Source organism: Homo sapiens, chromosome 18 (assembly GCF_000001405.40).
Source record: "Homo sapiens chromosome 18, GRCh38.p14 Primary Assembly".
NCBI lineage: Eukaryota > Metazoa > Chordata > Mammalia > Primates > Hominidae > Homo > Homo sapiens.
In genome coordinates this window covers 12,491,636-12,518,811 of record NC_000018.10, presented here as the reverse complement: position 1 = coordinate 12,518,811, position 27,176 = coordinate 12,491,636, and the positions used below count along the sequence as shown (strand labels likewise).

General features: G+C 40.9%; 1 protein-coding gene across 14 annotated transcripts in view, besides 1 other annotated feature; it reads left to right on the top strand.

Moving 5' to 3' along the window:
- The window catches only part of SPIRE1 (spire type actin nucleation factor 1), a 215,580-nt gene that overhangs the window by 143,280 nt on the left and 45,124 nt on the right, over nucleotides 1-27,176 (top strand). For all 14 annotated transcript variants that reach the window (NR_197429.1, NM_001394323.1, NM_020148.3 and 11 more), the window contains 4 exons: nucleotides 6,281-6,358; nucleotides 12,171-12,335; nucleotides 22,710-22,796; nucleotides 25,611-25,740. Coding sequence is in view for 13 of the 14 variants with exons in the window: in NM_001394323.1 (NP_001381252.1) it covers nucleotides 6,281-6,358; nucleotides 12,171-12,335; nucleotides 22,710-22,796; nucleotides 25,611-25,740 (460 nt within the window). In the remaining variant the exon portion in view is untranslated. The remainder of the gene's footprint in view (nucleotides 1-6,280; nucleotides 6,359-12,170; nucleotides 12,336-22,709; nucleotides 22,797-25,610; nucleotides 25,741-27,176) is intronic.
- Nucleotides 24,174-24,373: a silencer, noted in NCBI's record as "fragment chr18:12494438-12494637 (GRCh37/hg19 assembly coordinates)". NCBI's record gives its function as "represses an EF-1alpha promoter that drives an FKBP-Casp9 reporter gene in an ReSE screen in K562 erythroleukemia cells {active_cell/tissue: K562}" and the evidence as "EXISTENCE:reporter gene assay evidence [ECO:0000049][PMID:32094911]".

The window sequence follows — 27,176 nt, the reverse complement described above, 5'->3', positions numbered from 1 at the left end:
TTTTTTAATTTATTATAGACAATATTGTGAAATAATGTCAGTCATGAAATGTATTTAATACTCTTTATGTAAGTAATTTCTTTGTTTTTTTTTGTTTTGTTTTTGTTTTTGTTTTTGTTTTGAGACAGGGTCAGGCTCTGTCACCTATGCTGGGGTAATCTCATGCAGTGATGCAATCTCAGCTCACTGCAACCTCTGCCTCCCGGCCTCAAGCAATCCTCCTACCTCAGCCTCCCGAGTAGTTGGGACTACAGGCATGAGACACTGTGCCTGGCAGTAATTTGTTGCTTTTTTCTTTTCTTTTTTTTTTTTGTGTGTGTGAGACAGGGTCTTGCTCTTTTGCCCAGACTGGAATGCAGTGATGCAATCACAGCTCACTGCACTTCCAACACCCAGGTTCAGGCAGTCCTTCTGCTTCAGCCTCCCAAAGTGCTGGGATTAAAGTTGTGAGCCATCATACTTGGCCTACATTAGCATATTTTAACTGAGTTATTAAAAATGTTGCCCAGTGTGGTTGCTCACGCCTATAATCCCAGCACTTTGGGACTCCAAGACGGGCAGACCACTGAGCCCAGGAGTTCAAGATCAGCCCGGCCAACATGGCAAAACCCTGTCTCTACTAAAAGTACAAAAATTAGCCAGGTGTGGTAGTACATGCCTGTAGTCCCTGCTGCTCAGGAGGCTGAGGTGAAAGGATTGCTTGAGCCCAGGAAGTTGAGGCTGCGGTGAGCCATGATCACACCACTGCTCCAGCCTGGTCAACAGAGTGAGACTCGGTCTCAACAATTAATTAAAAGTTTGTTCAAGGAATTTTTGAAATATATTCCTTATTATAATGCATTTAAAAATGTCTAACTGAAAACATGTACACATGGCATAGGGAAATAAGATAGTTTAAATGGTGGAAATGGTGATCATTAAAATGCTGTCATAAAAAATACATTATTATTTTAATATATGAACATATATGTGAATAAGAAGGATTTAATTAGTAAAGGGGTACTTATATGTGAGCTGATGTTGAACCTACACAAATGGATTAAAATTATTCTCTGAGCATTTGACATACTTCTGATTCACAGAGTAGATTTTGTTTTTTAAGTTGCCAGGAACTGAAAATGTTGGCATTGAGCAGTTCTAATTGCCAGCTTGAGAATGGTAATGTCAGAAATGGGAAGCGTAATTGCCATGTGGGTTCTCCCAATTAGAACTTTCTCACCATATCTCAAGCACAGGTTGACATCTGTTATTACATTTCTGCAAGCAAAAAAAAGAAAAATCATTCAGAAGCTAAAGTATAATTGACAGCTTGAATCTAAAACAAGAAAAATCTGTAATTTACTTTCAAATAACTCATTTGTTTTTACTGCTAACTAGAAAAATTGAGCTTTCTAGCCACATATTTGATCAAGCTTGTTTGATTACAGTATTTATAGATTCTAAGCTATCTACATTGATTTATTGCTGAGTCAGGATTTTGATTTGATGAAGAGGCTAAGGAGAGGTATCATTTTGCAAAACAAATTCACTTAGTATAAAATATTTTTGTGATGGAGTAAAAGTATTCACAATCAAATCCTCATAGGTATTCATTGACATAATAACTAATACCTACTGAATGTTCAATATGGTCTGAACTGAATGCTGTGTTTCATCTGTATTCTTCTGGTATATTTCTTCTATAAAATCCAAAAGATAGCTATTATTATTTGCACTTTAATATATGAGAAAATCAAACAGGATTACAGCAATTTAAAAATTTCCCCAAAGTCACGCAGCTGGAAAGTATCTGAGCTACAGTTTGTGCTATTGTTCAGAAAAACAAAGAAATGTGAAATTCTTGGACCATTTCAATTGTCTTCAATGTTATAAAGAACAGATAGTTTTTCTTAGTGGCAATGAGTGAGGGATTTGATCACAGCACAAATAAAGGTAGAGATGTAGGCAGGCCTAACAGTGACACCCTCCTGACTACATTTAGTCAGGGATGTGTCGGAGAATAGTAAAAATTAAGGTTGGGTGGAAAAGGGGCCCTGTTTTGGGGGGCATTGAAGCAAAAGAGTTTGGATTGAATATATTTTGCTGCTTCTCACACTATTCTACCAAAGTACCCCTAAGACATAAAAGCATGAACTCATATTTGTAGACTATTAAGGACATATTAAATCGTAACTTTCAGTTGCAGATGACAGAAACCCACTCAAATAAGCATGGGCAGAGTAGGGGAGAGATGTATTGGCTCACATAATTAGGAAGTCTAAGGGTACAGCTAGTTTTAGGCATAGTTGGATCCAGAATCTCAAAGGCTGTAATTAGGGCTGGCATGCTCCCTCCCTTTCCTCTCCAACCCTTTCCAGGACAGTCTCTTACTACCGTCTGCAGCCCTATTCTCACACTCTATCAATTTAGAACTCTGGCAGCAAATCTTTTCTGTTAATTGGGGCAAAAAAGTCTTAGAGGAAGATTTGGAGTCATATACCCACTTAGTAACCAGTCACAGTGGCCAGGAGATAGGCTGTGCTGGCTGGTCTAGGTCATGTTCTTACGCTTGTAAATAGGAAGTGAGGTACTGGGTCAGCCCTGCTCAAACCGTATGGGATGCATTTCTCAACAGAAGGATCTTTATCAGAGGAAGGAGCAGGGAGGCTTTCTTGAAAAATTAATGCTGTCCACTGAAGACTTGCTCGTCTAGTGCAAGTTAAAATATCTTTGACATAGTGGATTTTACTTTTGAAATTCATGTAAGTTTTGTCTGAGATGTCTGTTGTAATATTTTTTTAATGTTTCATGCTGTGGATTAAGCTCCCCTAGGATTTCCCTGGGAGACTCCTAGGGGTAAAATTTGAATTCAGGAGGTTTTATTGGGGCATGCTTTTGGGAACACCTATAAGGAATAAGGAAAGCAGGATTGAGCAGAGGGAAATGTTGAAATGTGATGCAGATGCAGCAGAGGCCTCAGCCGATCCCACAGGGAGCTCAGCAGCTAGGGGTGGTTCTTCAGAGATGTCCCAAATTGAAGCAAGGAGGCCTGATCTTTGTACTTCCTCACAGACCAGTGACTGGATATAGGTTACTCTAGGGAGGATGTAACTTTGACAAAGCAGCTTCCTTTGGCTAAAGGGCAGTTCCTGAGGAGGGTTAAGTAGTGAGCCTTTAGCAGACATCTCTAGCCACTAGTGGAAGAGGACGTTGTTCCTGAAACAGAGGGCAGCTTACCACAGCTTTCATTACATTAATTCCAGGAAAATATGTCATGTTTATCTGTTGTTTTATTAATATTTTGTTTTATTTTTTTGAGACAGGGTTTCTCTCTGTCGCCCAGGTTGGAGTGCAGTGGTGTGATCTTAGCTCACTTGTAGCCGCAACCTCCCAGGCTGAAGTGATTCTCCTACCTCAGCCTCCTGAGTAGCTGGGACTACAGGCAAGCGCCACCACACCCGGCTAATTTTTTGGTTTTTTTGGAGAGACAGGGTCTTACTGTGTTGCCCAGGTTGGTCTTCAACTCCTGGCCTCAAGCAGTCCTCATGCCTCAGCTTCCCCAAATATTGGGATCATAGGCATGAGTCACTGCACCTGGTCTGGAATTTAAAAAAAAAAGAAAAAAGTATGGGCTTATAAAGATGAGTTTATTCATCATGATTTCAGCTTTTTTCATATTTTTATGGTTTATAAGCTCCTGGGTAAGCAGTATATTGCTTCTGTGGGATCAGCCTTTGGGTGACAAGGGAGAATATGGCAGAAAGAACGTGTTTCCAAGTGGGCATGTGTCAGCCCCACCCCACATTCCATTATGTCTAAGGAAAGGAGGGTTGTTAGAAGGTTGGTCCATTTATGCGTACTTGATTTTCTCAGGCGCTAAGGTTCCAAACCAGCTTATTTGATGCTGGTTGAATCTTGTTGACCTGTTTAATACTATAATTACCTCTTTTCTTCTGTATGGTATTAGAAATGCATTTCTTTTTCTTCTTTATTTTATTTTACCTATTTATTCATCCACCTATTGGCTGAATGAGACACTTAAATGTAATGTGAGCCTGGGTTGAAGATTTATTTTCCTAAAACGCAGAGCATGTGTTTCTGTGTGGCAGATAAGATACCGCTCCCCAACTTCCCTAGGGGATTCTGAATTTAGAGGAGAACATAGATTTTTCTCTGAATATTACTCCCTCTGATTGAGCTTCCTCTTACTAAAGTTGACTTGGTAAGGGCTATTAAATAGGTTTAAGTATTTAAACATGCATGGTTGAAAGTGTCTTAATCTACTTAATGAAGAAATATTTACTAAGCACCTATTCTATGCAAGGCTATTCTGGAGATTTGTGAATCCCATCAGTGAACAAAATACAAAAAAAAAAAAATTCTTCTTTCCTAAAGTCTGAATCCAGCAGGAGGTGGTAGACAGTAAACATATGAAATAAGTACATTCTGTAGACCACTAAAAGGTAGGAAGAGCTATGGAAAAAGACATAAACTAGAGTAACTGCTAGTAGCTGGGGATGGGGCTTGGAATTTGGTCAAGATAGACCCCGTTGAGAAGGTGACGTTTGCACAAGTGTGTAACAGATATGAGGTGATTCAGTCTGGATATTTGAGATGTAAAGCATTCTAGGAAGAAGGTGGCAGCCAGTGTGCATACCATAAGGCTGGAGTGGGAAGAAATAGTAGGAGATGAGGTAAAGTGTGGTGACTCAAGGCTATAATCCCAGCCGTTTGGGAGGCTGAGGCAAGGGGATCGCAAGCTGACGAGTTCGACACCAGCCCAGGCAATATAGTGAGACCCTATCTGTAGAAAATACAAAAATTAGCCAGGCATAGGGGTGCACACCTGTAGTGCCAGTTACTTGGGAGGCTAAGCTGGGAGAATTACTGGAGCCCCAGGAAGTGGAGGCTGCAGTGAGCCGTAATTGCATCACTGCACTCCAGCCTGAGCAACAGAGGAAGACCCTGTCTCTAAAAATAAATAAATAAATCTTAAAAATAAATATTTCAGACCGGGAGCAGTGGCTTATGCCTGTTATCCCAGCTCTTTGGGAGGCCGAGGCGGGTGGATCACCTGAGGTCAGGAGTTTGAGAACAGCCTGACCGACATGGAGAAACCCTGTCTGTACTAAAAATACAAAATTAGCCAGGCGTGGTGGCGCATGCCTGTACTCCTAGCTACTCGGGAGGCTGAGGCAGGAGAATCGCTTGAATCCGGGAGGTAGAGGTTATAGTGAGCTGAGATTGCACCATTGCACTCCAGCCTGGGCAACAAGAGCAAAACTCCACCTCAAATAAATAAATAAATAAATAAATAAATAAATAAATAAATAAATAAATAAAGTTAAGTATTCATTATTCTCATATAAAACAAGCTAGATTTCATACAGTGCATTTAAACAGTCTTTTGATCAACGTGGGGATTAGGGAAAAATTTTTTTAAAACTCAGTTTAAGTGCAGGCAGGCACATAGCTCAGCAAAAAGTAAATATATTAGGGTTGAATTACTGTAAGTAGAATTGCTGTATCATAAATTTAGAATTAATATGTGAATATATTTTAGCAACCAAGATTTTCTTAAAGTTGCAAGTGTTGAATTGATGCAGTTTGAGGCATTTTTATCAATTAAAATGTACTCATCAAATTACTTGATAAATATATATTGAGCATCAGCAAGTGCCAGTGCTTGTGTGGCCTCTGAAGATGGGATTCTGCCTCATGAAGTCTAGAGGGAAGGCACTAATATGTGTAAAATTACAATGTTGATAAGAGCTGTTAGAGGTATAATGGTGCTATAAAATTTTAAAATAGGAGGATTTTGACTTATTCAGGGAGGAAGGGAAGGCTTCTCTGAAGAATCGATGATTCTGTTGAGTGTGATATCTGAAAGGAAGAATGAAAGTAGACAATGAAAGAGACCAGCCATGGGGTGAGGAAAGGAGAGCATCCGGGATCAGATTGCTTCAGAAGCCCAGGCAAAATATGATGGTGTTTAGAGTAATGGATTTGTAGTAGAGATGAAAAGAAGAGAGCTTAAGTTAAAAAAAAAAAAAAAAAGAAAAAGAAAGTTGTGTTGGCAGGGCCTGAAAGGAAATTAGAGTGAGCAATCTCCGTCCATCCTCAGTAAAATGGATCCTCAGGGTTCCATTTTAATTGGCCCTAGAGTTTACGGAGCAATAGATTCTGTACCATCTCCTTCACTGGTACTTGAATATATGTCTTATCTGAAGATATGTTAGGAATTTTAATTTGAGAAGATAACTTAATGAAATGTTTATGCCTGTATTATTTTAACCTGTAGAATCTTAAGAAGATTCAAGAAATGGAAAAGAGCGATGAATCTAGCACAGACTTGGAAGAGCTGAAAAACGCTGACTGGGTAAGAGCTGGAAATGCTTTCTGATCTGTTTACTGTCTAAGAAATAGTATAATTTTTTTTTTTTTTTGAGACAGAGTCTCATTCTGTTGCTCAGGCTGCAGTGCAATGGTGCGATCTCAGCTCACTGCAACCCCCACCTCCCGGGTACTGCAACCCCCGCCTCCTGGGTTCAAGTGATTCTCCTGCCTCAGCCTCCCAAGTAGCCAGGACTACAAGCATGTGCCACCACGCCTGGCTAATTTTGTATTTTTAGTAGAGACGGGGTTTCACCATGTTGGCCAGGCTGGTCTCAAACTCCTGACCTTATGTGATCCTCCCACCTGGGCCTCTCAAAGTGCTGGGATTACAGGCATGAGCCACCTTGCCCAACCTGTATAATATTTTTAAAAATGCTAGTTATTGGCCAGGCATGGTAGCTCACTTCTGTAATCCCAGCACTTGGGGAGGCCAAGGCAGGAAGATTGCTGGAGCTTAGGAATTCAAGACCAGCCTGGACAACATAGTGAGACCCTATCACTAAAATAGGAGGATTTTTATTATTATTAAAAAATAAAATAAAAAAATTAGCCGGGCTGGTGGCATGTGCCTGTGGTTCCAGCTACTTGGGAGGCTGAGTTAGAAGGATCACACGAGCCCAGGAGGTTGAGGCTGCAGTGAACTATGATCACACCACTGCACTCCAGCCTGGTCAATAGAGTGAGACTCTGTCTCAAAAAAATAAAAAATAAAATACTCGTCATTAAGGACTGTAGTATGAATTGATATGTAAATTTGAATGCTTAGTCTTACATTTGAGGAAATATCTATTCCCCATTTTAAAAAGCTTTCTGGTTTTATTAAAACCACCCCCAATGTCTCTGAGAATTGTAGTGTTTTAAAATATTAATATTTCCAATTATGTTAATACCTTAACACAGCAGTCCCCAACCTTTTTGGTACCAGAGACTGGTTTTGTGGAAGACAATGTCAAGGATTGGGGGTGGAGGGGTGGTTTCAAGATGAAACTGTTCCACCTCAGATCATCAGGCATTAGATTCTCGTAAGGAGCATACAACCTAGATCCCTCACATGTGCAGTTCACAGTAGGGTTTGTGCTCCTTTGAGAATCTAATGCCGCTGCTGATCTTAACAGGAGACAGAGCTCAGGCATAACGCTTGCTCATCCACCACTCATTTGCTGTGCCGCTCACTTCCTAACAGGCCACAGACCAGTACCAGTCAGTGGACTGGGGGTTGCAAACCCCTGCCTTAACATATTCTTGTGTATAAATTAAAGTTTAAGCTATGTTTTCAGAATTAAGTGTGAAACTAACAGTGTTGTACATTTATTTATCCAGTGAACAGTTACCTGTGTGAGGACTCCGGGAATGCAGAATAAACAATATGAGCTCTCTCTCCCAATAAAACTCAGTCTAAAACAGAAGACAGATTTGTAAAACAGATAATGTGGTTTATTCATGTGACACATGAATATCTACAGTTTTTCAGGCATAGTACTAAATCCTAGTGACTCCAAAAATCCCTGCTGTCATATAAAACTTAGAGTTGGTAGGCATGACAGTCTTGGGTACAGACAGTGAATGTTGTGGAGTGTGTTAGATTGTGGAAGTCCAAGGACAGGTGTGGTGGCTCACACCTGTAATCCCAGCACTTTGGGAGGCTGAGGTGGGCGGATCACCTGAAGTCAGGAGTTCGAGACCAGCCTGGCCAACATGGCCAGCTATCCCACTAAAAAATACAAAAATTAGCCAGGTGTGGTGGTGCACACCTGTAATCCCACCTACTTGGGAGGCTGAGGCAGGAGAATAGCTTGAACCTGGGAGGTGGAGGTTGGGGTGAGCCGAGATCGCACCATTGCACTCCAGCCTGGGCGACAGAGGGAGACTCTGTCTCAAAAAAAAAAAAAGAAGATTGTTGAAGTCCAGGTATTGGGGGAAGGCACATTTTAGGATTCTGACTTTTTAGGTTAAGAATGCTAGATAAATCATGCCATTATCATATGAATGGGTTGCTTTTGACCATATTAGGTTTTAATTGTCACATTATTTTCTAACTTTTATTGAGATATAATAGATATACAATAAGCTGCACATATTTAAAATGCATAACTTGATAAATTTTGACATATATTTTGTACATATATATATTCAGCCATGAAACCATCACCACAATCAAAATAATGAACCTATTTATCACACCCAAAGTTTCCTCATACCTTTTTATGATCCTACCTCCTGCCTCCCTCCTCCCCAGTTTCTAGGCAATTAGTCATCTGCTTTCTGTGACTATAGACTAGTTTGCACTTTCTAGAATTTTATATAAATGTAATCATATGGTATATACTGTTTTTTTAGTTTTTTTTTTTTTTTTAGATGGAGTCTTGCTCTGTCGCCCAGGCTGGAGTACAGTGGCGTGATCTCGGCTCACTGCAACCTCCGCCTCCTGGGTTCAAGCAATTCTCCTGCCTCAGCCTCCTGAGTAGCTGGGATTACAGGTGCGCACCACCACACCCAGCTAATTTTTGTATTTTTAGTAGAGACAGGGTTTCACCATGTTGGTCAGGCTGATCTCGTACTCCTGACCTACCTGGTGATCCGCCCGCCTTGGCCTCCCAAAGTGCTGGGATTACAGGTATGAGCCTCCGCACCCAGCTGGTATGTACTGTTTTTGGTTTGGCTTCTTTCACTCTTCATAATTGTTTTGAGATTTCATCCATGTTGCTGTCTGTATCTGTAGAGTATTGAGAAGTATTCCATTGTGTGAATATATCGCAGTTTATCTCTTCATCTGTTGCTGGTCATTTGGGTTGTTTCTTGTTTGCAATATTCTTAATTTATTGATAGATATCTTCAAGATATTTGTAACATTCAAGACAAAACAAAAATACTTGCCTACATTGTCTTAAAAGCTGGTATTATTTGTCATTTTAGAATAAAATTGATTATTGATTTTCCTTTATGAAGAATACTTGGATAGTGTTGTTCTAAGTGTATATCATCTTGGCCAATAAATTTTAAATTGGTTTTCCCAGCCACTGAAACCAGATAAATAACTTCCAGTGTTCAGAAGTTAGCAAACAGCTAGTATAAACTTAAAGTAAAAATTTAATTTCTTACTATAAGCCACCTTCATTTGAAAACTAGTGTCATCCCTGACAAGAGAAGCACTAACTCCAGAGGGAGTTATATTTGCGTAGATCACCAGCTTCCTCCTCATAAGACCACTAAGTGAATTACCCAGAAAGATTAGAATGAAAAGAGCAAAGAGTTAAGAGAGAATTAGAATGTCTTTACTAGCAGATTCTAGTTTCAGAATTTCCCTAATGGGATAAGGGATAAATTATAATCTCCAGGAATGCATATGATGACAGTTGTCTGTTATTTTATATAATAACTGTGACTTTAATTTCTGAAAAGTAGTATGTAAAATTTTTTAACCAAACAATCATGCACACAAAACCGACTATGTAACAAAGTGTGGGCCAGGCACAGGGCCTCACGCCTGTAATCTCAGCACTTTGGGAGGCCAAGGCGGCTGAATCACTTGAGGTCAGGAGTTCAAGACCAGCCTGGCCAACATGACGAAACCTGTGTCTACTGAAAATACAAAAAATTAGCTTGGCATAGTGGCGGGCACCTGTAATCCCAGCTACTCAGGAGGCTGAGGCAGGAGAATCACTTGAACCCGGGAGGCAGAAATTGCAGTGAGCCAAGATTGCACCATTGCACTCCAACATGGGGCGACAAGAGCAAGACTCCGTCTCAAAAAAAAAAAAAAACCAAGTGTGTTTGAATCCTTTTATAAATTATAGCAAAAGTTTCTAATGTGGGTAACTGTCTCCTGTCTCCTAATTTAAAGCCCAAAGGGAGACTTTTAAAAGATGAGATGATATTTGAACTGCATCTTAAAGGAATGAATAAGAGAAATGTGGAAGTTGGGACAAAAGCATTCCTGAGAGAAATATGGATATTTTAGGGGTATTATTTTAGAACATCTTTAATGGCAGAATCTAAGAATCTTTTTAAATATGAATATTTTAGGAGGCATCTAATGGTACACCATAAGTACCTCAAATCCTTTTTGGAACAAGAGGATGGGAAATGGTATGGTTTTTATATTTTTTGGTAGCTTCTTATTGTCCAAACCCAACATTTTTTTAAAATTATGAATCGTTATTGAGGATGTTTTGAGAAATTTAATCAGTTATTTTACATAGAAGATTCTTATGAAATATATCACTTGATTTTACAGCAAATATATTTAAGTAACTATTGTGTCACTTTATTTTTTTTTTATTTTTTATTTTTTTGAGATGGAATCTCACTCTGTCGTCAGGCTGGAGTGCAGTGGCACTATCTCGGCTCACTGCAACCTCCGCCTCCCAGGTTCAAGCGATTCTCCTGCCTCAGCCTCCTGAGTAGCTGGGACTACAGGCACGTGCCACCACACCCGGCTAATTTTTTGTATTTTTAGTAGAGACGGGGTTTCACCATGTTAGCCAGGATGGTCTCGATCTTCTGACCTCATGGTCTGTCCACATCAGCCTCCCAGAGTGCTGGGATTACAGGCATGAGCCACTGCGCTCAGCCATGTCACTTGTTAATTTTAACAAGTTACAGGTTTTTAGCTAAATATTGTGATGGACTTCACTCAAGTAGAGACTTTGACACATTATAGGCAGGAGAACAAAAGAGTTAAAGTATAATACAAATATAAATAGATTTTGTATTATTTTATGTTTTTTTTTTATTTTTTGAGACAGAGTCTCACTGTGTCGCCCAAGCTGGAGTACAGTGGTGCGATCTGGGCTCACTGCAACCTCTACCTCCCGGGTTCAAGCAATCCTCCTACCTCAGCCTCCTGAGTGGCTGCAATTACAGGCGCACACCACCACACCCAGCTAATTTTTGAATTTTTAGTAGAGACAGGGTTTCACCATGTTGGTCAGGCTGGTCTCGAACTCCTGACCTCAGGTGATCCACCCTTCTTGGCCTCCAAAAGTGCTGGGATTACAGGTGTGACCCATTGCACCCAGCCTTTTTTAGTATTTTCTATGTATAGAACACCATCTACTGATTCTGATCTTCTCAACAAGTGATAAAGTACCACTTTCTTTATTGATGAGGAAACTACAGCTCAGAAAGGTGCAGCAACTTGCTCCGTGTCAAATAGCTGGCAAGTGGCCTTATCTCAGTCAGCTGTGGTCACAGTAATACCGTGTAACTAACCACTACAAAATCACAGCCGCATAAAGCAAAAGCACTTACTAACTCATGGGTCTCCAGATCCCCTGTGGTAGCTCCACTTTACAGGTATCTCATCTTTATCCCGGGACCACAGGCTAACCCAGGCTTGACATTTTCGTGGCCATAATAGAAACACAAGGGACAAGCCCATTGTACATATGCTTTTGAAGCCCTTGGTCTTATCACACCCACCACTATTCCAGTGGCCAAGCAAATCATATAGCCAAACCCAAAGTCAGGGTGTGGGAAATATAATCCCCTTTAGTGAGCAGAGTCACATAACGGCATAGACACAGGAAAGCATGAAGAACCTGAGCCCTTAATGAAGCCTACCACAGTGGTGGAGCTTAGGTTTAAACCCATGTGCCTCAGCAGGTAGAGCCTGTGGATTCTCTACTTGCTTTCCACCCATCTTTTAGTACCCAAAATCTAATTTTTAAAATAGTTTTTTGTTGGTTTACTCATTGTTTTGTAATCCAAGCTCTTCATTTATTCTGTATGACTAGCTGTTTAGAAGAAACTAGTACATTTATTCATTGATGTCTCTCTATCCTTGGTTCTTTCAGGCACGATTCTGGGTACAGGTGATGAGGGATTTGAGGAATGGGGTAAAACTTAAGAAGGTCCAAGAGCGGCAGTACAACCCTTTGCCCATTGAATATCAGCTCACCCCTTATGAGATGTTAATGGATGACATTCGCTGCAAAAGATACACCTTGCGAAAAGTGATGGTAAGTAACCAAGCTGTCAGGCCGGGCATGTGGCTCACTCCTGTAATCCCAGCACTTTGGGAGGTCGAGGCAGGTGGATCATCTGAGGTCAGGAGTTCAAGACCAGCTTGACCAACATGGTGAATCCCTGTCTGTACCAAAAAATACAAAAATTAGTTGGGCGTGGTGGTGCACACCTGTAGTTCCAGCTGCTCGGGAGGCTGAGGCAGAAGAATCGCTTGAACCCAGGAGGTGGAGGTTGCAGTGACCCAAGATCGAGCCACTGCACTCCAGCCTCAGCGACAGAGTGAGACCCTATCTCAAAAAAGAAAAACAAAAAACTATTAATGGACTCAAATGGTTATTCATCCATAATTGCATTTGTTGAAAATAGTTTTAATATTAAATTTTAAAAATTATTTATTTTTATACAAGTAATACTTGATCATTGTAGAAAATTTGGAAAGTACATTAAGCTTAAAGAAGGAAAGTTACAAACATGTAATTCCATAACCCAGAGAGAAATTTTGTTAACATGTTGATCAATAACCTTTAGCCTTGTTTCTATGCACTTTATTTGGTCAAAGTGAGTTAATATAGAATGCTTTGTTTTATTACTGGTTGTTTTGCTTAACATATCATGATTATTTTTTCCATGTCATTATATATTCAATATTATCATTTCTAAATGGCTATATCGTTTCTAGCTTATGGCTATTCCGGAGTTTATTAAACAAATCACCTTGTGTCCCTTTATAAGCAACATATTTTGTGTATCCTTGTATGTAAATCTTTTTAAATGTCCACCATGAAATCCTTAAGTTCCTAGATGCGGAACATCTAGTTCATTAGCAAATTCTGACAGCTCTCCCTTTAAAATATATCCTGATTCTGACCACTTCTCTCCATCTCCAATTGAGAGTTTTTTTGTTTTTTTTTTTTTTTGAGACAGGGTCTTGCTCTGTCACCCAGGCTAAAGTGCAATGGCATGATCACAGCTCTACTGTAGCCTCGACTTCCCAGGTTCCAGTGATCCTCCCACCTCAGCCTCCTGAGTATCTGGGACCACAGGTGTGCGCCACCATGCCCAGCTAGTGTTTTTTGTATTTTTTGTAGAGATGGAGTTTTGCCATGTTGCCCAGGCTGGTCTTTAATTCCTAACAGAGCTCAAGTGATCCACCTGCCTCCGCCTCCCAAAGTGCTGGGATTATAGGCATGAGCCACGGCACTTGGCCAAAATATCTTCTATTCCAAGCCACCATCATCTCTCATCAGACTATGACAGTAACCTCTAAGTGGCCTTCCTGCTTTCACCCTGCCCCTTTCAATCTATTTTTCCCAAAAACAACCAAGTAGGCCTCTTAAGTAAAAAATATGATCATGTCATTGCTCTACTCAGAACCTTCCACTGGCTTTTCATCACCCTCAGAAGAAACTCCATGTCCTTACCGTGGCCGGCACAGCCCACACGGCTGGATCCAGGTTACCTCTCAGACCTCATCTTCTGCTATGCTTCCCTGCAGGGTTCTGCTTGTTAGCCACCCTGATCTCTGCCAGTGTCTCAGCAGTGCCTAGTGTGATCCTGTAACAGAGCCTTTGCCTTGGATATTCCTTCTCTCAGGAGCTCTCCTCTCCCTCATAGCCACATAATTTGCCTCTTTACTTTTCAGGCCTGTGCTCAAGTTTTCCCACATTAGAAAAGTCTTCTCCATCTCTTTACTCTCGTGTTTCACTAGCTGACATTGCAGTGTATTTCCGGATTTATTGTCTGTCTCCCTTACAAAGACAATAACTTAGTTATTTTCACTGTTTATCCCCTTTGACAAGAACATGGGCCTGACATGCAACCAAATACTGAATACTGTGCTCACTAAATAGTTATAGGATGGATTAATGAATTCTATCCACATTTTTGAGGAAATTTAATCAAAGTTATTTTATGTTAGAAGGTTCTTATGAAACATCACTTGGTTTTTTGTTTTTCATTTTTGAGACAGAGTCTCACTCTTTTTGCCGAGGCTGAAGTGCAGTGGCGTGATCTTGGCTCACTGCAACCTCCACCTCCCAGGTTCAAGTGATTCTCGTGCCTCAGCCTCCCAAGTAGCTAGGATTACAGGCGCATGCCACCACGCCTGGCTAATTTTTGTATTTTTAGTAGAGACAGGGCTTCACCATGTTGCCCAGGCTGGTCTCGAACTCCTGACCTTAGGTGATCTGCCCACCTCAGCCTCCCAAAGTGCTAGGATTACAGGCGTGAGCCACCATGCCCAGCCACGTCACTTGGTTTTATAGTAAATTGGTTTAAGTGGCTATTTGAGCTGCTTGTTAATTTTAATAAGCTAAACATTTCAACTAAATATTATATTTATTTACTTTTCATCAAATCTGATTTACTTTACAGATGAGGAAACTGAAATTTAAAGATGCTCAGTAGTAACTTCCCAAGTTCAGACAGCTGGTTACAAGGCAGAGCTGAGGGTCAGCCTCATTCTCTCTGACCCCAGTGCTCTGTGCTATGTACATATTCCCTAGTTGCCCTCAGAAATACTGTGATGATGATTATTTATAACAGAATAGTTTTGTCCATTGCTTCACATCCTTGCACAAACTGGGTGTCTTTTGGGGTTGACCATTTTAACTGAAAGAAAATATTCTTTCATTTTTAACATCTACATTTATTTCATGCTTTTAAACATTTAAAAATCTGTGCTAGCTGTTTGTATTTCTTAATTTTATTTTAATTTAACATATATGTGTTAAGGACTTTCTATGTGCTAGACCTTATTCTGACTCTGGAAGGACGTATTACAGTCTCTGTTCTCTCAAAGCTTCCAGTATTTTGGCAGCCACTGATAACCTGTAGGGAAGCAGCTAAGTAGGGGGAAAAAAACCCAACATATCCAAAGATCAAGCAGCAATGGGATCTGACACATGAGAACAACAAAAACAACTCGCCATCATTAGAGGATAGAACAGAATGCAGGAAACTGGAAAGGTGAGAAGAAAAGACAACTCAGGACCGAACCCGTGCAGCCTCGGCGCTGAAGGATGAGTAGAGGAATCTGGCAAAATAAAGACGGACAAGGCATAGCCAGAGAGAAGGCTGGAAAGTCAGGGGAAATGGAGGCACAGCTGCAAAGAGCAGGCAGTGTTTCAGAGAGGTCGGATGCGCGCTGTGAAATGGTTAACAGATTTAGCAACATGGAAATTATTTGATCCTTTTATTAAAGTAAAAGAGAGAAACCAGATTTTATGGTAGTAGGTGAGGCAGTAGTGACAGTGAGCAAACAGTATGAGTTTCTTTTAAGAATGTTTAAAAGAAGATGAAAGATTGATAGCATCTGGAGGAACACACAGGGTATTTCCTTTTTTTTTTTTTCTTTTTTTTTGAGACAGAGTCTCACTCTGTTGCCCAGGCTGGAGTACCGTGGCGTAATCTCGGCCCACTGCAAGCTCCGCCTCCCGGGTTCACGCCATTCTCCTGCCTCAGCCTCCCAAGTAGCTGGGATTACAGGTGCCTGCCACCACGCCCAGCTACTTTTTTGTATTTTTAGTAGAGATGTGGTTTCATCAGGTTAGCCACGCTGGTCTCGAACTCCTAACCTCAGGTGATCCACCCATCTCAGCCTCCCAAACTGCTGGGATTACAAGCATGAGCCACCGCACCCCACCCACATGGGGTATTTCCTTGTATGTGTGTGCCGTGGCTTGTGTACCCAGCCCCCTATTAATAGATATTTGATGGTTTCCAGTTTTCATTGTTTTAATCCATATTATGATGAACATCCAAATGCAAACATCTTACCCAATTATCCCCATGGTTTAAATTTTTATTGGTGAGATGAATAGATCAATATAATGCACATTTTATTGCTTCTTTTATAATGTATATTTTAAATTTTAGTACTTAATATTTTGCAAGAGTTCTCTCCAGAAGGGTTGTACGAATTTACATTTTTACTAGTTTTGCAAGACCGTTCCTATTGCCAATACTGGGTAATGTTATCTTTCTCAAAAATGTGTACTTATTTGAACTTTGTCCTTTCTGATTGGGGGAGCACTTAATGTTAATCTTAGGTGATTTTCCTCCTTATCCAGAAGGAATTATTCAAAAATTCATATCAGTGTTAAAATAAGTCTTAGTAGATAATTAACATTTCTATTTGATTTATCATTAATGTATTTTAACTGTCATCTTTGATATTGCTAAATCTTTTTTGTTTTTTGTTTTTCTTAGTTTTTAGCAGAGTTTTACACTGCAAGAACCTTTCTCTTTTTATCAGAAAAAATAATTGTGCTAAATAGTAGTCAACCTGTTTGATACTAAGAATTATAGGTTCCTTTCGAAGTTGCTGATTTAACAGTCCTCAGCTAGAGTCTAGGAATCTGTATGTTATAAGCACCCTAGATGAGGCTTAGGGAAGTAATGGTGTGTGATAGAATGACAAAGAACTGTGCATCCAAAATGGAAAATGTTTGCTAGCATAAATAATTACGTTTCTCCTGTGGTAAATAAAAGACATTTATTGATTGATTGACACAGGGTCTTGCTCTGTCGCCTGGGCTGGAGTGCAGTGGCATGATCACGGCTCACCACAGTCTTAACCTCCCCAGCTCAAGCAATCCACCCATCTCAGCCTCCTGAGTAGCTGGGACTACAAGTGTGCACCACCACATATGGCAATTCCTTTTAATTTTTTGTAGAGGCAGGTTCTTGCTATGTTGCCCAGGCTGGTCTTGAACTCCTGGGCTCAAGCAGTCCTCTCACCTCCGCCTTCCAAAGTGCTAGGATTATAGGCATGAGCCACCACACCTGGGCCAGGCGCCATGGCTCATGCCTGTAATCCCAACACTTTGGGAGGCCGAGGCGTGCGGAACACAAGGTCAAGAGATTGAGACCATCCTGGCCACCATGGTCAAACCCCGTCTCTATTAAAACTACAAAAATTAGCTGGGTGTGGTGGCATGTGCCTGTAGTCCCAGCCACTCGGGAGGCTGAGGTAGGAGAATTGCTTGAACTCGGGAGGCGCAGTCGCAGTTAGCTGAGATCGCGCCACTGGTACTCCAGCGTGACGGCAGAGCGAGACTCTGTCTCAAAAACAAACAAACAAAAAAAGTCTGACTTTTTTCTTCCAGTTTTCTTTTTTATTATATATACCCATGTACCCATTTATTATATAAACCCTGTATCCATGAAGCATCACTCCCATTCTTCTCTCCCCTTATCCCCTGGTAACCACAAATATGCTTTCTGTCTCCGTGAACTTACCTATTCTGGATATTTCATGCATATTGCCTCATCATATATGACCTTTGGTGTCTGGCTTTGACTTAGCATAATGTTTCAAGGTTCATTCATATTGTAGCATGCTGAGGTACTTTGCTCCTTCTTTTTTTTTTTCTTTTTTTTTTTTTTTTTTTTTTTGAGACAGAGTTTCACTGTTGTTGCCCCGGATGGAGTGCAATGGCGTGATCTCGGCTCGCTGCAACCTCCGCCTCCAGGGTTCAAGCCATTCTCCTGCCTCCACCTCCCAAGTAGCTGGGTTTACAGGCATGCACCACCACACCCAGCTAATTTTGTATTTTTAGTAGAGACAGGGTTTCTCCATGTTGGTCAGGCTGGTCTCGAACTCCTGACCTCAGGTGATCTGCCCTCCTTGGCCTCCCAGAGTGCTGGGATTACAGGCGTGAGCCACTGTGTCCAGCGAGCTACTTTACTTCTTCTTATGGCTATACAGATATATTTTGTTTATTCATGACCCAAATGGACATTTGGGTTCTTTCCAATTGGATTCTTTCATTTTCGCTAGCATGAGTAGTGCTGCAGTGTATAGTAGTGTACGCATTTTTGTTTGAATACCTGTTTTCAGTTATTTGGGGTATATACCTGGGAGTGGAGTGGCTGGATCATATAGTAATTCTATGTTTGGCTTATTGAGAAACTACCAAACCGTGTTCCACAGCAATTGCACCAATTAATATTCCCACCAGCAATGTATGAGGGGCCCAGTTTCTCCCATCCTTGCCAACACTTGCTGTTGTTCATTTTGTTTTTAATTGTAACTCCCCTAACAGTGTGATATGATGTCTCATTGTGGTTTTGATTTGCATTTCCCTGATGATTCACAATGTCATATATGTTTTCATGTGCTTGTGAACCATTTGTATATCTTTGGAGAAATGTCTGTTCAGATTTTGTATTCATTTTTTTACATTTTAATTTAGATGCGGGTGTGCATGTGCCTGTTTGTTACATAGGTATATTGCATGCTGGTAGAGACTGGGTTTCTAGCGTACCTATCACTTAAATAGTGAACATTGTACCTGATAGGTAACTTTTCAACCCTGACCCCCCTCCCAACCTCCCCACTTTTGGAGTTCTCCAGTGTCTACTATTTCCATCTTTGCGTCCATGTGTACCCATTATTAGCTTCCACTTATAAGTGAGAACATGCAGTATTTGGTTTTCTGTTTCTGAGTTAGCTCACTTAGGATAATGGCCTCCAGCTCCATCCATGTTGCTGCAAAGGACATGATTTCATTCTTTTTTTATGGCTGTGTTGTACTCATTTTTTAATTGGATTGTTTGTATTTCTGCTGTTAAGTTGCAAGAGTTCTTTATATATTCTGGATGGTGGACCCCTGACAGATAGATAATTTGCAAGTATAGAAAAACACCCATTCTGCAGACTGTCTTTTCACTCTCTTGATAGTGTCCTTTGATGCACAAAAGGTTTTAATTTTGCTGAAATACAATTTATCTATTTTTCCTTCTGTTGCTTGTGATTTTGGTGTCATATCTAGGAATTCATTACCAAATCCAGTTCATGAAGATTTTCCCTTATGTTCTCACCTGAGACACTTATAAATAGTTTTAGCTCTTATATTTAAGTCTTTGATCAGTTTTTTTAGTTAATTTATATATATGGTGCAAGGTAAGGGTCAAACATTATTCTCTGTCAGAATTCCAGTGACTTTTTTTTTTTTGGCAGAAATGGAAAAATCGATTCTGAAATTCTTACGGAATCTCAAGGAATCCCAAATAATCAAAATAATCTTGAAAAAGAAAAAGTTGGTGGACTCACACATCCCCATTTTACAACTTACAACAAAGATTTAGTAGTCAAAACAGTGTAGGATATAAAAAACAGAATTCAGAGTACAAAAACAAACTCATACACCTATGTTCAATCCATTTACAACAAGGGTGCCGAGACCATTAAATAGAGAAAGAATAGGTCTCTTCACCAATTGATATTGGGACAACTAGGTATCAACATGCAAAGAAGGATGTTTGGCCCTAACCTCACACTTCTTGAAATTTCATTAGGGGACCAATATCAGTCACTAAACTATAACTTGGTTTTGTAGATTATTAGCTGTGGTCTTATGTCATCATTAATGGTTCTGTTTTATTTAAGATAAAAATAAAAGGCCAGACACAGTGGCTCATGCCTGCAATCCAACCCTTTGTGGGAGGCCAAGGCAGGAAGATTGCTTGAGCCCAGGAGTTTGAGAGTAGCCTGGGCAACTTAGTGAGACCCCATCTCCATAAAAATAAATAAATAAATAAATGGGCAGGGTGCAGTTGGGATTACACCTGTAATCCCAACACTGGAAGGCCAAGTGCTAGGATCGCTTGAGTCTGAACATTCAAGACCAGCCTAGGCAACATAGACCCCCAATTCTACAAAAAATTAAAAACTAGCTGGGGATGGTGGTTCACACCTGTAGTCCCAGCTACTCAGGAGGCTGAGGTGGAGGGATCGCTTGAGCCTGGGAGGTCAAGACGGCAGTGAGCTGTGATCACGCCACTGCACTCCAACCTGGGTCATAGAACAAGCCCGTGTCGCAAAAAAAGAAAATTATTTCAGAAACAAGATTGAGTACAGGGTAGACGTTTTAAATTTTTCAGAGGAGATCATTTTATGTGTTAGAAGTTTTTTGTTGGGCCGGGCGCCCAGACTCACACCTGAAATCCCAGCACTTTAGGAGGCCGAGGTGGACGGATCACCTGAGGTCAGGAGTTCAAGACCAGCCTGGCCAACATGGTGAAACCCCATCTCTACTAAGTAAAATACAAAAAAGTTTTTTGCTTGTTTAAGGCATTGTTGCTCAAAAATAATACCAAATTTCTATAACTGATCTTATTTATTTAAGCATCTACTATTTGTGTTCATCCAGGAATCATTTCTCATTTTGCTTCAGAGAGCTTGTTTACTTACAGGAAAATAATTTAACTGACCCAGCAGCAAAATGGTTTTCACACAACCACTTATCCTTATACAGGTTTAGCGTCACAAACCTGGACATCTGAAGTGCTCCAGCAAACTTTTTGAGGGCCAGTATGATACTCAAAAGACATTCTCATTGGAACATTTCAGATTTTTTGATAAGTATAATGTAAATATTGAAAAATCTGAAACACTCTAGTCCCAAGCATTTGGATAAGGGAGCTTCCTCCACCCGTACTGACTTAGGTCCATAATGGCCTGCTGCCTCCCTCAGGAGCATTGTCCCACATCTGTAATTGGGACCCAGGATACAGCTTCTGACTACTGAGGAGACTACAGTTAATGTGCTTGTTTTGGGAATGGAACGTATAGGGTTGGCCTCAGTTAATCCATTCTCATTCCTGCTCTTAGGATACAAAGAAAGCATGTGAAAATTAGCCAGAAAGATACATGTTATTCAGTAGTAGACTAGTGAGTAATAGAAAAGTCTGATTAAACTGTTTTATGAAATAAGGTTTTTTTTAATCTACATAATATGAAATCCACAAGTAGTGGGTGGTGCCAGGTTAGGCCACTGGTTCTGCTTCTCGATCACCCTCCTTAAACTAGCAGTCATATGCCTGGCTTGGCTCAAGCAGCAGCAGTTATTCCTGAAGCTTGCTCTGGGCCATCCTGCCCTCATTCAGGACTGGGGGAGAGGGAGGACTAGCATAGGGAGGAAGAGGAGAGTGGATGTTGAGTAGGCCCCAGCAGGCTTGCCACACACTCTGAACTCAATATGTGGTCACGTCTGGGGAAGGGACAGGGCATAGGAGTGGCCATTGAGGTTCTATTTTGTCAAACAAGACCAGGAAACAAACAGGACAAACTGGTCATGACTGTGCCTTCTAAGTGGTCAGAATGGGAATTTAAGTTGTTGCTTCTTGTGGTTTTCTGGGTTTAAAAAAAAAATTTCTAAAAAAAATTGTTTTTAACACATTGCATTAAAAAGAGAGGACATTAGAGTAGAATCAGAGACAGACTGGTCCTCCACAATAGCTCTTCTACTTAAAAGTTTTGTGGATGGAGGCAGATATCCTCTGCTCTGTGCTTTAGTTTTATTTACAAAATGTGAATCTTATCCCTGGTTTTTTTCTATTACCTAGGTTTTTGTGGGGTTTTTTTGTTGTTGTTTGTTTTGTTGTTGTTGTTGTTTTGCGACAGAGTCTTGCTCTGTTGCCTAGGCTGGAGTGCAGTAGCGTGATCTCGGCTCACTGCAACCTCCTCCTCCTAGGTTCAAGCGAGTCTCCTGCCTCAGCTTCCCAAGTAGCTGGAATTACAGGCGCCTGCTGCCATGCCTGGCTAATTTTTGTATTTTTGTATTTTTATTTTTATTTATTTATTTTTCTTTTTTTTGAGACGGAGTCTTGCTTTGTCACCCAGACTGGAGTGCAGTGATGTGATCTCAGCTCACTGCAAGCTCCGCCTCCTGGGTTCATGCCATTCTCCTGCCTCAGCCTCCTGAGTAGCTGGGACTACAGGTGCCCGCCACCACGCCCGGCTAATTTTTTGTATTTTTAGTAGAGACAGGGTTTCACCGTGTTAGCCAAGATGGTCTCGATCTCCTGACCTTGTGATCAGCCCGTCTCGGCCTCCCGAAGTGCTGGGATTACAGACGTGAGCCACCACACCCAGCCTAATTTTTGTATTTTTAGTAGAGACAGGGTTTCACCATGTTGGCCAGGCTGGTCTCTAACTCCCTACCTCAGGGGTTCCGCCTGCCTCGGCCTCCCAAAGTGCTGGGATTACATGCGTGAGCCACTGCTCCCGGCCTACCTAGGTTTTTTTTACAAGGAGGAAAATAAGAGGTAAAAAGTTTTTTAAATCATAAAATACTGAATAAGTTCAAGTATTATTTATTCCATTTACATTCATAATTTTAGAAACTTTTTGTTGAAATTTCACAAAGTGATAGAATTAAAGTAAACTTGGATTTTCTTCAATTTCACAGTCTTTCCTCTGAATCACTCAGCCATTTACTCCCCACTTTATTGATTTGAAATGTATCCTTGGTAATTACACTTCACTAATTTTATGGCATATTTGAGATAACAGCTATACCCAGAAATTCATGATAGTCTTATATAGTCACATGAATCTTCTGCTTTTTGTCTCCTTTTAGGTGAATGGTGATATTCCCCCTCGGTTAAAAAAGAGTGCTCATGAAATCATCCTCGACTTCATCAGATCCAGACCTCCTTTAAATCCAGTATGTAATTCGACATAGTTCTCTAGATTGGAGATATCATAATGAATTATTCTACTCTAGGGTGTCATCTCTAGAACTCAGCTTTCCTAGGTGGTTTTTCCTCTGAGCTTTTTACTCTGAAGATGAAGCCCAGCTGTAAATTATATTTTTTGTTTTTAAGACAGAGTTTCACTGTGTCACCCAGGCTGGAGTGACCCCTGGGACTCAAGTGATCCTCCCACCTCAGCCTCCCAAGTAGCTGGGACCACAGGTGTGCACCACCATGCCCAGGCTAACTTTTTAAATTTTTTGTGGAGATGTGGTTTTGCCATGTTGCCCACGCTGGTCTCAAACTCCTGGCCTCAAGCAGTCCTCCCACTTCAGCCTCCTGAAGTGTTGGGATTACAGACATGAGCCACTACAGCTGGCCTTGTAAATTATATTCTTAAGTCACTGAAAAATCTTAAAATTATTTAATACAAGGCTGTCTTAGGATACTTTTACTCAAAACAACCTGGGTCATGGTGCAAAATCTGGTCATATACCTCCTAGATAACAGCTAAATATATTACTGGATAGTCCTGTTATGGATTGTCCTTCCAGTTTACTATAGGATGCAACCTACCCCTCCTTGATTAAATTGTCATATTGACATATTTTATAATAAATCCACCTGCTGTACATCCATTTCTATGTTAATTATCATGTTCCTCTGTTAACAGAGTTCTTTCTAGCAACCATAGACTCAGAATATTCTAATCTGTTGGAACATTGGTTTGTGTTTCTTCTGTTCCTTATTTCTTTTTTACCCGGCTCAATAGCCAGTGCTCACCAAAGCCTCTCAAAACAGTGTACATAAAGTAACTAGAAAGTGAATAGTATTTCTCAGTTTGTATACAACTAAAGCATAATTAATGATCCTTTTTATAAATCTTTTTTAAAGAAGGCAAAGAGGGCTACCTAGGAGGGTTTTTTTTTTTTTTTTTTGAGACAGAGTCTCACTTTGTCGCCCAGGCTGGAGTGCGGTGATGCAATCTCGGCTCACTGCAAGCTCCGCCTCCTGGGTTCACGCCATTCTCCTGCCTCAGCCTCCCGAGTAGCTGGGACTACAGGCACCTGCCACCACGCCTGGCTAATTTTTTTGTATTTTCAGTAGAGATGGGTTTGTTTTTTTTTGTATTTTTTTTTTTTTTTTTTTGAGATGGAGTCTCACTCTGTCGCCCAGGCTGGAGTGCAGTGGCGCGATCTCGGCTCACTGCAAGCTCCACCTCCCGGGTTCACACCATTCTCCTGCCTCAGCCTACCAAGTAGCTGGGACTACAGGCGCCTGCCACCATGCCCGGCTAATTTTTTTTGTATTTTTTTTTTTTTAGTAGAGACGGGGTTTCACCGTGTTAGCCAGGATGATCTTGATTTCCTGACCTCGTGATCCGCCCACCTCGGCCTCCCAAAGTGCTGGGATTACAGGCGTGAGCCACCGTGCCCGGCCGAGGTTTTTTCTCTGAGCTTTTTACTCTGAAGATGAAGCCCAGCTGTAAATTATATTATTTTTGTTTCTGAGACACAGTCTCACTGTGTCTCCCAGGCCAGAGTGGTCATGGTAGGATGGTAGGTCATGGTAGAACAGAAGGAGCATGGACCATGTGAACCTGGACTTGAACACTGGCTCCACAATTTAGCAGCCACGTATCTCTGAGGGAGCTAATCAGCCTCCCAGAGCCTTTATTTCCTCAATTATAAAATGAAGATAATAACAATCTAAGAAGGTTATGGGTGGTTACTAAAAAATGTTAGTTTTAAAAACAGTAGAGCGGGGTGTTCACAGCACTTGGGAGGTGGCTCACACCTGTAATCCCCACACTTTGGAAGGCCAGGATGGGAAGATTGCTTGGGCCCGGGAATTCAAAACCAGCCTGGGCAACATAGAGAGACCCTCTCTCTACAAAGAAATTAAAGAAAAAAAAATTAGCCGTGTGCAGTGGCATACACTTGTTGTCCCAGCTACTCAGGAGGCTGAGGTAGACGGATCACTTCAGCACAGGAGGTCAAGACCACAGTGAGCCATGATCGTGCCACTGCACTCCAGCCTGGGTGACAGAGCAAGACCCTGTCTCAAAAACAAAAAACAAAACAAAACAAAAACACAAAAAAAAGAACAGTAGTAATAACCTGCATTGCAACTGATTACCTATCACGCTAGCATATAGGGAACATAATTATAACTGCTTAAAATTAGTTGAGCAAGCCAGGCTCAGTGGCATGCGCCTGGAATCCCAACCACTTGGGAGGCTCAGGCAGAAGGACCCCTTGAGCTTAGACATTCAAAGTGTAGCCAGGTGCAGCGGCTCATGCCTGTAATCCCAGCACTTTGGGAGACTGAGGAGGGTGGATCACTTGAGATCAGGAGATCGAGACCAGCCTGACCAACTTGGTGAAACCCCATCTCTACTAAAAATACAAAAATTAGCCAGGCATGTTGGCACACGCCTGTAATCCCAGCTACTCGGGAGGCTGAGGCACGAGAATCGCTTGAACCCGGGAGGCAGAGGTTGCAGTGAGCTGAGATTGCACCACTGCACTCCAGCCTGGGCAACAGAGTGAGACCCCTCCTGTAAGCAATAAAATACAATTTGAGAATGTATAACCAAATCACTCTGATATCCAGTAATCTCCCTATTGCTTTAGGAACCTTAATATTTAATGACTTGAAAGTAATCTTTTATCAAGCAGTGTTCCAGTCAATGAAATGTAATTTATAATACTGTACTGTATGACTAGACTTCAGTAAAAATTACTTAATTACTGAAGTCTTTAGCCATTTTTCTTACTTTCAAGGTCTCAGCCAGAAAACTGAAACCAACTCCACCACGGCCACGGAGCCTCCATGAAAGAATATTAGAAGAAATTAAAGCAGAAAGAAAGCTGCGGCCTGTATCACCAGAGGAGATTAGACGTAGCAGATTAGGTGAGTCCACTGCTTCCTGTACTCAGTCTAGAGTCATCCCCTGGGAAAAGGATCTTTATACACCCAGCCCCATGAAAGTAAAGAGTTCTCATTCCTTGTTCATTTCTCTGTATCTCACTCACTTGTTCTCCCTCTCACTCTCTCGTATACATACCCCCTCTCACTCTCTCATATACATACCCCCTCACACTTACTTGAAATTTATAGGGTGGGAAATCCTTCCGCCTATCTAATACTGAACTATATGAGAACATCGTGCCGTAATTGAAAGAGCTCTGCCAGTCTCTAGGCTGAGGTTTTAGGAAAGTCTCTTTACCTCTCTGAGCATCATTTTCTTCATTGGCAGAAGGGGGATAAAAGTTCCTCTTAACCTACATTATGAGTTTTATGTAAGAATTAAATAGGATTATGGTAAAAAAATACTTTATAAATTGTATTGCATATACAAAGATAACGTATTATATTTTAAAAATATAGATGATAGATGTACAGTTTTACCTTATGTTTGTTTATTATGGGTTTAAAGATACCCGTAATATTATGTCATGAAAGCATGTTATTACCGGATATTACTTAACTTATTTCTAAACTTCCTTTACAGTTATTATTTTTTATTTTTTAGTGTATACTACAAGCACATATTGATTTTGATTTATAGGAAGGCCATATTATAAGATGTCTGTAAACATTTTTATTTATACGACTGTCTTTCAGTTTGTAAGACTAAAAATGCCCAAAGAATCCAGAGAAACTGCCTTTACGAAAACGGTCTATAGTGGTACCTTAACAGGAAAGGATCTGGTTTTGTGACCCCCACTCTGCTAGTTTTCTCCTCTGATCTCTTCTTCTGCCTTTTTCAGACTCTTGGACTTCAAAGTTTCTATCCTGGCTTCTGTTCTCCCTAAGCAACCATACCCTCTTCCATGGTTTTTGTTTCTGACTACCTTCCAGCTCACAGTCTACATTGCAGATCTGTAAAAATGCAGACTCATACGTCCAGCTGTCTGCTAGATAGAGCCTTATCATATCCTACAAGCAAGACAAACCCAATATTTCCACAAGTGAACTCATCCTGTCTCTCCCCAAACCATTGCATTTTGTTTTCCCAATGTAGAAACCTTAACATAATCTTTGACTCTTACCCGATGGCCAACCCCTGTTGATTTTACTTCCTCTGGATCTTTTTAATCTTCTACTCTTCTCAGCCCAGCAGCCACTATCCCAGCCGAGGCTGTCATCTGTCGCAGCAGCACTGATTGTCCTCCTGCTTCCAGTCTTGAATTCTTCCACCATTCCATATTGATTTTCCTTGTTTAATCCTGACCCTTCTGTTGTGTGACCTTCGTGATGACAGGGCCCATGTCTGTCTTGTTCGTTGTTGTGTCCCTAGTACAGCACTGGGCTGTACAGAGTACTCTCATGGGTTGAAATAATTA